At 51.8% G+C, this 13,676-nt stretch overlaps 1 protein-coding gene across 2 annotated transcripts in view, besides 2 other annotated features; it reads left to right on the top strand.

Annotated features, from left to right (window-relative positions):
• Window positions 767-1,267: an enhancer, noted in NCBI's record as "H3K4me1 hESC enhancer chr17:1593891-1594391 (GRCh37/hg19 assembly coordinates)". NCBI's record gives its function as "activates a minimal SCP1, AML or CMV promoter by ChIP-STARR-seq in naive H9 embryonic stem cells {active_cell/tissue: H9 hESC(naive)}" and the evidence as "EXISTENCE:reporter gene assay evidence [ECO:0000049][PMID:30033119]".
• Window positions 1,268-1,768: an enhancer, noted in NCBI's record as "H3K4me1 hESC enhancer chr17:1593390-1593890 (GRCh37/hg19 assembly coordinates)". NCBI's record gives its function as "activates a minimal SCP1, AML or CMV promoter by ChIP-STARR-seq in naive H9 embryonic stem cells {active_cell/tissue: H9 hESC(naive)}" and the evidence as "EXISTENCE:reporter gene assay evidence [ECO:0000049][PMID:30033119]".
• Window positions 6,997-13,676, top strand: part of PRPF8 (pre-mRNA processing factor 8) — a 34,239-nt gene continuing 27,559 nt past the window's right edge. Inside the window, exons 1-13 of one of the 2 annotated variants that reach the window (XM_024450537.2) lie at window positions 6,997-7,069; window positions 7,282-7,392; window positions 8,163-8,331; window positions 9,571-9,735; window positions 9,826-10,044; window positions 10,174-10,386; window positions 10,810-10,935; window positions 11,033-11,138; window positions 12,065-12,255; window positions 12,454-12,573; window positions 12,658-12,847; window positions 12,983-13,102; window positions 13,212-13,346. In XM_024450537.2, coding sequence (XP_024306305.1) covers window positions 7,293-7,392; window positions 8,163-8,331; window positions 9,571-9,735; window positions 9,826-10,044; window positions 10,174-10,386; window positions 10,810-10,935; window positions 11,033-11,138; window positions 12,065-12,255; window positions 12,454-12,573; window positions 12,658-12,847; window positions 12,983-13,102; window positions 13,212-13,346 — 1,854 coding nt within the window. In that variant the 5' untranslated portion in view covers window positions 6,997-7,069; window positions 7,282-7,292. Of the gene's footprint in view, window positions 7,085-7,281; window positions 7,393-8,162; window positions 8,332-9,570; window positions 9,736-9,825; window positions 10,045-10,173; window positions 10,387-10,809; window positions 10,936-11,032; window positions 11,139-12,064; window positions 12,256-12,453; window positions 12,574-12,657; window positions 12,848-12,982; window positions 13,103-13,211; window positions 13,347-13,676 lie in introns of both variants that reach the window. The other variant, NM_006445.4, reaches the window with a different exon arrangement.

Genomic DNA, 13,676 nt, shown 5'->3' with positions numbered 1-13,676 from the left:
CACTCCAGCCTGGGCAACAGAGCGAGACTCCATCTCAAAAAAAAAAAAAAAAAAAAAAAAAAGTCCAGGCGCCGTGGCCCACATCTGTAATTCCAGCACTTTGGGAGGCCAAGGGGGACAAATCACAATGTCAGGAGTTCAAGACCAGCCTGGCCAACATGGTGAAACCCCATTTCTATTAAAAAGACAAAAAATAGCTGGGCTTGTGATGGCAGGAACCTATAATCCCAGCTGCTTGGGAGACTGAGGCAGGAGAATCGCTTGAACCCGGAAGGCAGAGGTTGCAGTGAGCCGAGATTGTGCCATTGCACTCCATGCACTAACTCCAGCCTGGGCGACAGGGCGAAACTCCATCTCAAAAAAAAAAAAAAAAAAAAAAAAGGCCGGGCGCGGTGGCTCACGCCTGTAATCCCAGCACTTTGGGAGGCCTAGGCGGGTGGATCATGAGGTCAGGAGATCGAGACCATCCTGGCTAACACGGTGAAACCCAGTCTCTACTAAAAATACAAAAAAAAAATTAGCTGGGCATGATGGCGGGTGCCTGTAGTCCCAGCTACTCGGGAGGCTGAGGCAGAAGAATGGCGTGAACCCTGGAGGCAGAGCTTGCAGTGAGCTGGGATCACACCACTGCACTCCAGCCTGGGCGACAGGGCGAGACTCCATCTCAAAAAAAAAAAAAAGAATGGGTAAAGGATCTGAATACATATTTATCCAAAGACGATATACATGCCATAACAATATAACAAGTATGAACCTCAAAAACATCATAAAACATCATGCTGGCCAGGCTTAGTGACATGCACCTGCAGTCTTAGCTATTCTAGAGGCTGAAGTGGGAGGACCCTTTGAGCCCAGGAGTTTGAGGTTATAGTGAGCTATGATAGCACCAATGTACTTGAGCCTGGATGACAGAGTGAGACCTTCATTTCTAAAAAACAAATAACAACAACAACATCAACCACAAAACCATTATGCCAAGTAAAAGCAGACAACCACACACAAAAAAATTCATTATTCTATCATACCATTTATATAAAATGTTGAGAACAGGTGAATCTATAGAGATGGAAAACAGAAAAGTAGTTGCCTAGGGCTGAGGAATAGGAGGTAGGAGGAAATGGGGGAGCGAATGTGTAGAAGATTTCTTTGCTCTCTCCCTCTCCCTCTCCCTCTCCCTCTCCCTCTCCCTCTCCCTCCTCTCCCTCTCCCTCTCCCCACGGTCTCCCTCTCCCTCTCTTTCCACGGTCTCCCTCTCCCTCTCTTTCCACAGTCTCCCTCTCATGCTGAGCCGAAGCTGGACTGTACTGCTGCCATCTCGGCTCACTGCAACCTCCCTGCCTGACTCTCCTGACTCAGCCTGCCGAGTGCCTGCGATTGCAGACTCGCGCCGCCACGCCTGACTGGTTTTGGTGGAGACGGGGTTTCGCTGTGTTGGCCAGGCCGGTCTCCAGCCCCTAACCGCACGTGATCCACCAGCCTCGGCCTCCTGAGGTGCCGGGATTGCAGATGGAGTCTCCTTCACTCAGTGCTCAATGGTGCCCAGGCTGGAGTGCAGTAGCGTGATCTCGGCCCGCTACAACCTCCACCTCCCAGCCGCCTGCCTTGGCCTCCCAAAGTGCCGAGATTGCAGCCTCTGCCCGGCCGCCACCCCGTCTGGGAAGTGAGGAGCATCTCTGCCTGGCCGCCCATCATCTGGGATGTGAGGAGCCCCTCTGCCTGGCTGCCCAGTCTGGAAAGTGAGGAGTGTCTCCGCCCGGCCGCCATCCCACCTAGGAAGTGAGGAGCACCTCTGCCCGGCCGCCATCACATCTGGGATGTGAGGAGCGCCTCTGCCCGGCCGCGACCCCGTCTGGGATGTGAGGAGCACCTCTGCCCGGCCGCCCCGTCTGAGAAGTGAGGAGCCCCTCCGCCTGGCAGCCGCCCCGTCTGGGAAGTGAGGAGCCCCTCCGCCCGGCAGCCGCCCCCTCTGGGAAGTGAGGAGCGTCTCCGCCCGGCAGCCGCCCCATCCGGGAGGGAGGTGGGGGGGTCAGCCCCCCGCCCCACCAGCCGCCCCATCCGGGAGGGAGGTGGGGGGGTCAGCCCCCTGCCCGGCCAGCCGCCCATCCGGGAGGGAGGTAGGGGGGTCAGCCCCCCGCCAGGCCAGCCGCCCCGTCCGGGAGGGAGGTCGGGGCATCAGCCCCCCGCCCGGCCAGCCGCCCCATCCAGGAGGGAGGTGGGGGGGTCAGTCCCCCGCCCGGCCAGCTGCCCCGTCCAGGAGGTGAGGGGCGCCTCTGCCCGGCCGCCCCTACTGGGAAGTGAGGAGCCCCTCTGCCCGGCCAGCCGCCCCATCCGGGAGGGAGGTGGGGGGGTCAGCCCCTCGCCTGGCCAGCCGCCCCGTCCGGGAGGGAGATGGGTGGGGGGGTCAGCCCCCCGCCCGGCCAGCCGCCCCGTCCGGGAGGTGAGGGGCGCCTCTGCCCGGCCGCCCCTACTGGGAAGCGAGGAGCCCCTCTGCCCGGCCAGCCGCCCCGTCCGGGATGGAGGTGGGGGGGTCAGCCCCCCGCCCGGCCAGCCGCCCCATCCGGGAGGTGAGGGGCGCCTCTGCCCGGCCGCCCCTACTGGGAAGCGAGGAGCCTCTCTGCCCGGCCAGCCGCCCCATCTGGGAGAGAGGTGGGGGGGTCAGCCCCCCGCCCGGCCAGCCCCCCCATCCGGGAAGTGAGGGGCGCCTCTGCCCGGCCGCCCCTACTGGGAAGTGAGGAGCCCCTCTGCCCGGCCACCACCCCGTCTGGGAGGTGTGCCCAACAGCTCATTGAGAACGGGCCAGGATGACAATGGCGGCTTTGTGGAATAGAAAGGCAGGAAAGGTGGGGAAAAGATTGAGAAATCGGATGGTTGCCCTGTCTGTGTAGAAGGAGGTAGACATGGGAGACTTTTCATTTTGTTCTGTACTAAGAAAAATTCTTCTGCCTTGGGATCCTGTTGATCTGTGACCTTACCTCCAACCCTGTGCTCTCTGAAACGTGTGCTGTGTCCACTCAGGGTTGAATGGATTAAGGGCGGTGCAAGATGTGCTTTGTTAAACAGATGCTTGAAGGCAGCATGCTCGTTAAGAGTCATCACCACTCCCTAATCTCAGGTACCCAGGGACACAGACGCTGCGGAAGGCCGCAGGGTCCTCTGCCTAGGAAAACCAGAGACCTTTGTTCACTTGTTTATCTGCTGACCTTCCCTCCACTGTTGTCCTATGACCCTGCCAAGTCCCCCTCTGTGAGAAACACCCAAGAATTATCAATAAAAAATAAATAAATAAATAAATAAATAAATAAAAAAGATTTCTTTGGGGGGTGCTGGGAATGTTCTGGAACTCAATAGTGGTAACTGCACAAGTCTGTAAATATACTAATTTTGAATCATTAAAACTAAAATTCATTAACAATCATTGAATTATACACATGAAAACAAGCGAACTTTATGGATTGCGATTTTTTTTTTTTTTTTTTTGAGGCAGAGTTTCGCTCTTGTTGCCCAGGCTGGAGTGCAATGGCGCGATCTCAGCTCACTGCAACCTCTGCCTCCAGATGCAAGCGATTCTTACATCTCAGCCTCCCAAGTAGCTGGGATTACAGGCATGCACCACCATGCCCCGCCAATTTTTGTATTTTTAGTAGAGACAGAGTTTCACCATGTTGCTTCGTCTGGTCTCGAACTCCTGACCTCAGGTGATCCGCCCGCCTCGACTTCCCAATGTGCTGGGATTACAGGCATGAGCCAGCATGGTGGCCATGGAGTGCAACTTTTATCTCAATAATGCTGTTTTGAAAATAGTACAGAGAGTTCTTGTGTACCCTTCACGTAGCTTGAGAACTTTTTATTTTATTTTATTTTTGAGCGAGAGTCTCACTCGGTCACCCAAGCTGGAGTGCAATAGCATGATCTCAGCTCACTACAACCTCCACCTCCGGGTGCAAGCGATTCTTATGCCTCAGCCTCCCAAGTAACTAGGATTACAGGCATGTGCCACCATGCCCCACTAATTTTTGTATTTTAGTAGAGACAGGTTTTCACCATGTTGGCTAGGCTGGTCTCGAATTCCTGACCTCAAATGATCCACCTGCCTCAGCCTCCCAAAGTGCTGGGATTACAGGCGTGAGCCACCACACCTGCCCCCTGCCCACCCCCCAGAACTTGTTTTTTTTTTTTTTTTTGGAGACGGAGTCTTGCTCTGTCACCCAGGCTGGAGTGCAGTGGCCCGATCTTGGCTTACTGCAACCTCTGCCTACCGGGTTCACACCATTCTCCTGCCTCAGCCTCCCGAGTAGCTGGGACTACAGGCGCCTGCCACCATGCCCGGCTAATTTTTTTGTATTTTTAGTAGAGATGGGGTTTCACCGTGTTAGCCAGGATGGTCTCGATCTCCTGACCTCGTGATCCACCCTCCTCAGCCTCCCAAAGTGCTGGGATTACAGGCGTGAACCACCGCGCCCGGCCACCCCCCAGAACTTCTTATACAACCATAGAGCGACAATCAAACCAGGAAATTGACATTGGTACAATACTCTTTTTTTCTTTTTTGAGACGGAGTCTTGCTCTTTTGCCCAGGCTGGAGTGCAGTGACTATCTCAGCTCACTACAACCTCTACCTCCTGGGTTCAAGCGATTCTCCTTCCTTAGCCTCTCAAGTAGCTCGAAGCACAGGTGCGTGCCACCATGCCCGGCTAATTTTTTTGTATTTTTAGTAGAGACAGGGTTTCACCGTGTTAGCCAGGATGGTCTCGATCTCCTGACCTTGTGATCCGCCAGCCTCGGCCTCCCAAAGTGCTGGGATTACAGGCGTGAACCACCGCGCCCGGCCACAATACTCTTAATGAAACTACAGACCATAGTAGGATTTCACCAGGGCTTAGAGCAATGTCTGGCACGTAGTGAACCTTACACAGGTGAAAGGACTTCACTACCATGACGATGATGATGATGAAGATGATAATGATGATGTTGGACTTTCTAGCACAGCCAGATTGATATGGTGCCTATTTTCAGAGCATGCCATGTTAGTTTCTATATCTAAACCTTTTTTGGCCTGGCACGGTGGCTCACGCCTGAAATCCCAGCAATTTGCGAGGCTGAGGTAGGCAGATTACTTGAGCTCAGTAGTTCGAGACCAGCCTGACAAACATGGAGAAACGCCATCTCTACGAAAAATACAAAATTAGCCGGGTGTGGTGGCACATGCCTGTAACCCCAGCTACTCAGGAGGCTGAGGCAGGAGAATCGCTTGAATCCTGGAGGCAGAGGTTGCAGTGAGCCGAGATTGTGACACTGCACTCCAGCCTGGCAACAGAGTGAGACTCTGCCTCAAAAAACAAAAAACAAACCAAAACCCCCACTTTTTTTCTATGAAACCAGCCTCGCTCTGTCACCCAGGCTGGAGTGCAGTGGTGCCATCATGATCCTCCCACCTCAGCCTCCCGAGTAGCTGGGACTACAGGCATGTACCACTATGCCTGGTTAATATTTTTATTATTTGTAGAGATGAGGGTCTCAGTATGTTGCCCAGGCTAGTCTTAAACTCATGAGTTTAACCAATCCTCTCGCCGCTGCCTCCCAACGTGCTAGGATTACAGGTATGAGTCACGGTGCCCGGCTTCTTTCTTAACTCTTTCTAGTAGTTCTACCACTTGGGATTACCTTTTTCCTTCCTCTCCATTTACCTTTATGAAATCCTCACATCCATCCATCTCCATCAAATCTTTAACAATTCTCCTCTGTCTTTTTTGACTGTAGGGACCTTTAGAACACCCAGCATTAAAAAATAGATTTCAGGCCGGGCATGGGGGCTCACGCCTGTAATCCCAGCACTTTGGGAGGGCCGAGGCAGGAGGATTTCGTAAGGTCAGGAGTTTGAGACCAGCCTGGCCAACATAGTGAAACCCTGTCTCTACTAAAAATCCAAAACTTAGCCGGCAGTAGTGGCGCGTGCCTGTAATCCAGCTACTCTGGAGACTGAGGCAGGAGAATTGCTTGATCCTGGGAGGTGGAGGTTGTGATGAATTGAGATCGCGCCATTGCACTCCAGTCTGGGCAACAGAGTGAGACCCTGTCTCAAAAAAACAAAAGGAATATTTTTTAAATTTTTACCGTTCTGAAAGCACATTGACATCCTTTGAATTTTTTTCTAATTATTTCACTTTGATTTGTAAATTCTCAACTAGATTCAGGGGCTGTATGGGTTACAATTCCTCTGCACCCTCCACAGAATTTCAGACTTTTTTTTTTCCCCCGAGACAGAGTCTCGCTCTGTCACCCAGGCTGGAGTGCAGTGGCGCGATCTTGGCTCACTGCAACCTCCCCCTCCCGGGTCAAGCGATTCTCCTGCCTCAGCCTCCCGAGTAGCTGGGACTACAGGCGCCCGCCACCACGCCCGGCTAATGTTTGTATTTTTAGTAGAGACGGGGTTTCACCATGTTGGCCAGGCTGGCCTCGAACTTCTGGCTTTAAGTGATCCGCCTGCCTCGGCCTCCCAAAGTGCTGCGATTCCAGGCGTGAGCCACCGCGCCCGGCCAAGGTCTTAATTCTTGCCTGCCTTTCTGCTCCCCTGTGAACTCTACTGGTTGTCTTTTTTCCTGCTTTATCCCTCGTCCTCGGTAGACAGTGATGGTTAAATGAATGAATGCATGAACAAATGACTGTCCAGGAGCTAGTACTGCATTGCATGTACACATTGATGACAACAGACATCGTACAATGCGCAATCTTGGCAAATTTATTCAAACCCTTTAGACTTCGCTCTCTCACAGTGCGACGCCGGGAGCCCATCACACGCTGAGGTCTGTCAGAGGCCCCAGAAACAGCCTCGGAAATGGAGGAGGCGGGGCTTCACCCCGACCACACCCCCTTGCGTTCAAAGCCTTTCCGCCTATGGGCCCGCCTCCTCGGCGCAGTGTGCAACTCTAATTGGTCGTCTCACTAATCCATCTGAGCACCTCGGCGCCGACTGGATCAACTGCTGAACTCGGGTTGCGCACTTCCCGGCGCTGGGAACGCGGAGCGGACGCAGTCTGGCCGCCATTGCGCTGCGGGGAAAGCGGCCTCTTGTGTGAGGGCCTGTGGGGTGCGTGGCAGGCGTTTAAGGCCGGGCTGCGGGAGGCGTGGTCGGGTCGGGCCGAGTGACCGAAGGGGTTAGGCCGGGCGGGGCTGGATGCACTGTGTGGCGGGACTGCAGGCCGGGGTCCCCGGACGCCTTTCTGCTGCGCTTCTTGTGGGCCCGGGCCTGTGGTTAGTGAATTTTTCTATCCCGCCGCTCCCCAGATTCTCCGGATATGGCCGGAGTGTTTCCTTATCGAGGGCCGGGTAACCCGGTGCCTGGCCCTCTAGCCCCGCTACCGGACTACATGTCGGAGGAGAAGCTGCAGGAGAAAGGTGAGGCGAGAGTGTGGAGCGGCGCGCGGGCCGGAGGCGGGGCGGGTGTGCGCGCGCGCAGGCGGGTGGGGACCCTCCCCGTTTGGGCAGCTCCTGAGGTGTCAGCTCCCTTGTTATTTCCAGTTAATTTTTCATCAAGTCATTTTAAGCGCGTATTATTTGCAAGCGCTGATCCAGCGGGGGTACAGTAGTGACGGAGACAAAATTCCTGTCCTTACGGGGTTTAAATTACAGCGGGAGAGACAGAGAATAACAAAACCTTGAAGCTCTGTAATAAAAATGTCAGGCCGGGCGCGGTGGCTCACGGTTGTAATCCCAGCACTTTGGGAGGCCCAGGCGGGCGGATCACCTGAGGTCAGGAGTTCGAGACCAGCCTGGCCAACACAGTGAAACCTCGTCTCTACGAAAAATACAAAAATGAGTCGTGTGTGGTGGCGCGTGTCTATAATCCCAGCTACTGGGGAGGCTGAGGCAGGAGAATGGCTTGAACCCAGGAGGCGGAGGTTGCAGTGAGCCGACATCGCACCATTGCACTCCAGCCTGGGAGACAGAGTGAAACAACCTCTCAAAAAAAAAAAAAAAAGTCAGATAGTGATCAATGTGATGAAAGGAAAAACAGAGTAAAATGGTAAGGGAATTGGCAAGGGGTGCTTCTTCCTGCTGGTGCCTGCTTCTCCCTCACACTCACTGACAGGAGCTTACCCTAGGGCAAGAGGTGAAGAGGATTAGGGGGAGGGTGTGCAGGCCTTTAAACTGAGGTGCCTTTCCAGCTCGAAAATGGCAGCAATTGCAGGCCAAGCGCTATGCAGAAAAGCGGAAGTTTGGGTTTGTGGATGCCCAGAAGGAAGACATGCCCCCAGAACATGTCAGGAAGATCATTCGAGACCATGGAGACATGACCAACAGGAAGTTCCGCCATGACAAAAGGGTTTACTTGGGGTAAGGAACATCCTGAAATAATTTCATTTGGAATTTGGCCCTTTTCCCTTCTCCCTGTCCCACAGTCTTGGATTGATGCTTTGACAGCTCATCTTGGTGGATATAAGAGAAAGGAGAAAACCAGTAGGAGTCTCTGATAATTTCTACATCTTCCACTTTTGCAGTCTGTTTCCCCTCTCTTCCCGATCTGGGACTGGTGCTTTAATTTGTCCTGTTGATGATATTATAAGATGTCCCTGGCCAGGCGCGGTGGCTCATGCCTGTAATCCCAGCACTTTGGGAGGCCGAGGCGGGTGGATCATGAGGTCAGGAGATCGAGACCATCCTGGCTAACACGGTGAAACCCCGTCTCTACTAAAAATACACAAAATTAGCTGGGCGTGGTGGCAGGTGTCTGTAGTCCCAGCTACTTGGGAGGCTGAGGCAGGAGAATGGCGTGAACCTGGGAGGCGGAACTTGTAGTGAGCCGAGATCACACCACTGCACTCTGGCCTGGGCGAAAGTACGAGACTCCGTCTCAAAAAAAAAAAAAAAATGAAAAATAAGATGTCCCTATGGTTGAGCTGGTTGAAGTCCAGAGTGGGATACTGTGCATAGTGGCAGCCTGTCGCTCCTCAGGGACCTGAATTCTGTGTTTGGGGTATTTAATTTCAGAGGTTTCCCTACTCCTGTTTTTTCTGTGGCTCTAAACTGGGCTAGTACAGGTACAGATGTCTTAGCAGATTCCTGTTCTATTTGGACACAAAAATGTTTGCCATGTAATGAACTGGAAGTTTTGTTTATTTCAAAAAATACTTAGAGAACTGTGCTGGCTGCTGGGGATATAGTAGCGAGCAGAGGGTAACAATCTCCGCCTTTCTGCAGTGTGCGGTCTAGTGGCCTGACAGACATGAGACAACTGGTGATAGTGAAGTATGGTGAATACTTTATTATGATTTATGGGAAGATGCGGAGGGAATAGGATGTGAGAGAGCCGCAAAGCTGTCTCCAGAGGGATAGCCGTTGATTTAGAGGAGCTGATACCAGCATTGTGGGATTATGACGTTTAAGAAGAGTGGTGCAAGGTGAAGTTGGAGAGGGAGAGGCAGGGTTTCTGGTTAGGAAGGGCCTGTGGGCTAAGTTTGGGAGTTTGGATTGTAAGGTAGGACTGTGGAACATGAACATGTGGCTTCTCTGCATGGGACAGGTAGCAGAACACCTCGTCATTTCTGATAGCCTTCTCTTTTTCTAATGTGCCAGTGCCCTAAAGTACATGCCCCACGCAGTCCTCAAACTCCTGGAGAACATGCCTATGCCTTGGGAGCAGATTCGGGATGTGCCTGTGCTGTACCACATCACTGGAGCCATTTCCTTCGTCAATGAGATTCCCTGGGTCATTGAACCTGTCTACATCTCCCAGTGGGGGTGAGAAAGGCTGAAATATGGTGGGTGGTGGTGGTGGTGGTGGTTGGGAGGCAGTGGGTAGAAATGGTTGTGTGATGTCTTGCCTTCCAGGTCAATGTGGATTATGATGCGCCGAGAAAAAAGAGATAGGAGGCATTTCAAGAGGATGCGTTTTCCCCCTTTTGATGATGAGGAGCCGCCCTTGGACTATGCTGACAACATCCTAGATGTTGAGCCACTGGAGGCCATTCAGCTAGAGCTGGACCCTGAGGAGGACGCCCCTGTGTTGGACTGGTTCTATGACCACCAGCCGTTGAGGGACAGCAGGAAGTGAGTGATAGATGGAGATACTACACCTGGGAGGAGTTCTGGAAATGCAGAAGGAGTCCTGGGAGATCAGTAGGTGGTATGGGTTTGTCTAGCTGCTTACTTGAGGTGGGCCTTTCATTTTTTACCTAGGTATGTAAATGGCTCCACTTACCAGCGCTGGCAGTTCACACTACCTATGATGTCGACTCTCTACCGCCTGGCTAATCAGCTCCTGACAGACTTGGTGGATGACAACTACTTCTACCTGTTTGATTTGAAGGCCTTCTTTACGTCCAAGGCACTCAATATGGCCATTCCTGGAGGCCCCAAATTTGAACCTCTTGTTCGAGACATCAACCTACAGTGAGTTGGAGAGATTAGGGATTTTAGACATTTTGAGTTGAATGAAACGTAATCTTGATCCTTAAAGTCCTGATATAACTTCCAAATTAGTCTGTTTACACCAGGTGCAGTGGCTCACGCTGTAATCTCAGCACTTTGGGAAGCTGAGGCAGGAGGATTGCTTGAGCCCAGAAGTTTGAGACCAATCTGGGCAAAATGGCAAAACCCTATCTTTACCAAAAAATGTAGCTGGGCGTGGTGACACTCACAGCTTCGTGTAGTCTCAGTTACTTGGGAAGCTGAGCTGTGGGAGGATTGTTTGAGCCCAGGAGGTCACGGCTGCAGTGAACGATGATCATGCCATTGCATTCCAGCTTGGGTGATAAGAGTGAGACCCTGTCTCAAAAAAAAAAAAGTCTGCTTATTCTTGATGTTGTACCCTAGGGATGAAGACTGGAATGAATTCAATGATATTAACAAGATTATCATCCGGCAGCCTATCCGCACTGAGTACAAGATTGCTTTTCCTTACTTGTACAACAATCTTCCACACCATGTCCACCTCACCTGGTAAGAGACCTGGAACACAACATTTGGAAAGGAGAAGGCTGCTGTTTAGGTTGGGCCAGGGCGGGAAAACTTTGGCTGACTCTTCCTTTCATTTTAGGTACCATACTCCCAATGTTGTATTCATCAAAACTGAGGATCCTGACTTGCCAGCTTTCTACTTTGACCCTTTGATCAACCCAATCTCCCATAGGCACTCAGTCAAGGTGAGGAAGGGAAGGGATGCTTTCCCTCAGCTCTTCTAGGAGAAATGCGTGAGGTTGGCTGATGTTACTAAACGCTCAGGTGGAGGGAGATGTGTTTTCCGTCTTGCTAAGTGTTCCCCTTGAGCTATAAGCGAATATGAGAATTCAGCATTTGCTTTAAAACATGTCATTGGTATAATCCTGTTTTCTGTGATTATCCTTTTGGACTTTACGGTTCTTTTCTTGGGTGCTCTAGATAATCTGTCCCGGTCTGTCTCTATTGTGTTTGTTTGTTTTAGCCTTTATATTGAGATGTAGTTAACATACCATACAAGTTATCCATTTAAAGTGTGTAATTTGATGGTTTTTAGCTTATTCTCAGAGTTGTCCCAACTGTCACGACATGCAATTTGAGAATATTTTTATTACTTGAGAAAGAAACCCTTAGCAGTTACTCGCCATTTCTCCCCAACTTCCTTACGCAACCACTAATCTACTTTCTGTCTATAGATTTGGCTATTCTACACATTTCATATGATAGAATGAAATAGAATCGTACACTATGTAGTCTTCAGTGACTGGCTTCTTAAGCTTACCATAATGTTTTTGATGCTCATCTGTGTTCCGTTGTGTCCAAGCCCAGTGTTTGGAGCTTGGGTGGGAGATGATTGCAATGTTGACCTCCTGTGATGTTGGGGCTCCATTGGGAGGCTTTCTGGTGGTCAGCCAGTTGAGGTGTGAGAAGTGACGCTTGCTTTCCTGGTGGCCCTGTCTTGTTCTTTGCTGTCTTGGTTTCCTTTGTGCTGGCACTTCAGGGCTGCTTTTGTCAGACAGCCCAGTTTCCATAGCAGATACAGGCTTTGTGCTTGGCCCCAGAGAATTTCCCTCATCTTAAGTCTGTGCCTAGTTCAGCAGGAGCTAAACCCTTAGAGGGATTCCTTTTTCAGAGCCAGGAACCATTGCCGGATGATGATGAGGAATTTGAGCTCCCGGAGTTTGTGGAGCCCTTCCTGAAGGACACACCCCTCTATACAGACAATACAGCCAATGGCATTGCCCTGCTCTGGGCCCCGCGGCCCTTCAACCTACGCTCTGGTCGCACCCGTCGGGCCCTGGACATACCCCTTGTCAAGAACTGGTAAGGTTTTTCCCTGTGGCAGGGGGAATGATAGTGGATGTGTAGGAGAAAAGACTCCAACTAGGTGGGCATGTAGCCTTTTTTTTAAATTCTTTTTTTTTTTTTCCCATAAAAATGGTAGACAACCCAAGGCTTGCAGCCTTTAGCAGAGTGTCTGGAAGAAGAGATGGCCAAACTCTGGTGGGCTTATTTTTCCAGGTATCGGGAGCATTGTCCTGCCGGGCAGCCTGTGAAAGTGAGGGTCTCCTACCAGAAGCTGCTTAAGTACTATGTGCTGAATGCCCTGAAGCATCGGCCCCCTAAGGCTCAAAAGAAGAGGTAAGGTGCCCCAGGGGCCCTGCGCAGACTTCTGTTCCAGAGATATCAGTAGGCTGACTCTTACTCTCCATGTTCCCACCTCAGGTATTTGTTCCGCTCCTTCAAAGCCACCAAATTCTTTCAGTCCACAAAGCTGGACTGGGTGGAGGTTGGGCTCCAGGTTTGCCGCCAGGGCTACAACATGCTCAACCTTCTCATTCACCGCAAAAACCTCAACTACCTGCACCTGGACTACAACTTCAACCTCAAGCCTGTGAAAACGCTCACCACCAAGGTGCCTGCATTGGACCCTAGGGGCCTCCTGGGCTTCAAGGACGGACAGTTGTTTTCCTCTGGTTACTGATGAAGGCATACATCAGTTGGGTCCATTGCTCATTCACGTTCTGTCTGTTTTTTGCATCTTCTCCAGGAAAGAAAGAAATCTCGTTTTGGGAATGCTTTCCACCTGTGTCGGGAAGTTCTGCGTTTGACTAAGCTGGTGGTGGATAGTCACGTGCAGTATCGGCTGGGCAATGTGGATGCCTTCCAGGTAAGGTTAGGTATTCCCAACCCCTGCCTGGGTGAGGACGCTGGAGGAAGCCTGTGCTGACCGTGGAGCTGGTTTAAGCTCCAGGTCTGATGGGGCAATTGTATTGCAGCTGGCAGATGGATTGCAGTATATATTTGCCCATGTTGGGCAGTTGACGGGCATGTATCGATACAAATACAAGCTGATGCGACAGATTCGCATGTGCAAGGACCTGAAGCATCTCATCTATTATCGTTTCAACACGGTGAGACCTTGACTTTACTGACTTTCTTTTTTTTGAGACAGAGTCTTACTCTTGTCTCTTGGGCTGGTGTGCAATGGCACGATCTTGGCTCACTGCAACCTCCGCCTCCTGAGTTCAAGCAATTCTCCTGCCTCAGCCTCCCGAGTAGCTGGGATTACAGGTGCCCGCCACCACGCCTGGCAATTTTTTTTTTGTTTTGTTTTGAAACTGAGTCTTTCTCTGTTGCCCCAGCTGGAGTACAATGGCACGATCTTGGCTCACCACAGCCTCCGCCTCCCGGGTTGAAGTGATTCTCCTGCTTCAGCCTCCCAAGTAGCTGGGACTACAGGC

This window comes from Homo sapiens, chromosome 17 (assembly GCF_000001405.40).
Source record: "Homo sapiens chromosome 17, GRCh38.p14 Primary Assembly".
NCBI classification, from domain to species: Eukaryota; Metazoa; Chordata; class Mammalia; order Primates; family Hominidae; genus Homo; species Homo sapiens.
Note: the sequence above shows the minus strand (reverse complement) of the source record. Positions and strands in the feature narration are given on the sequence as shown.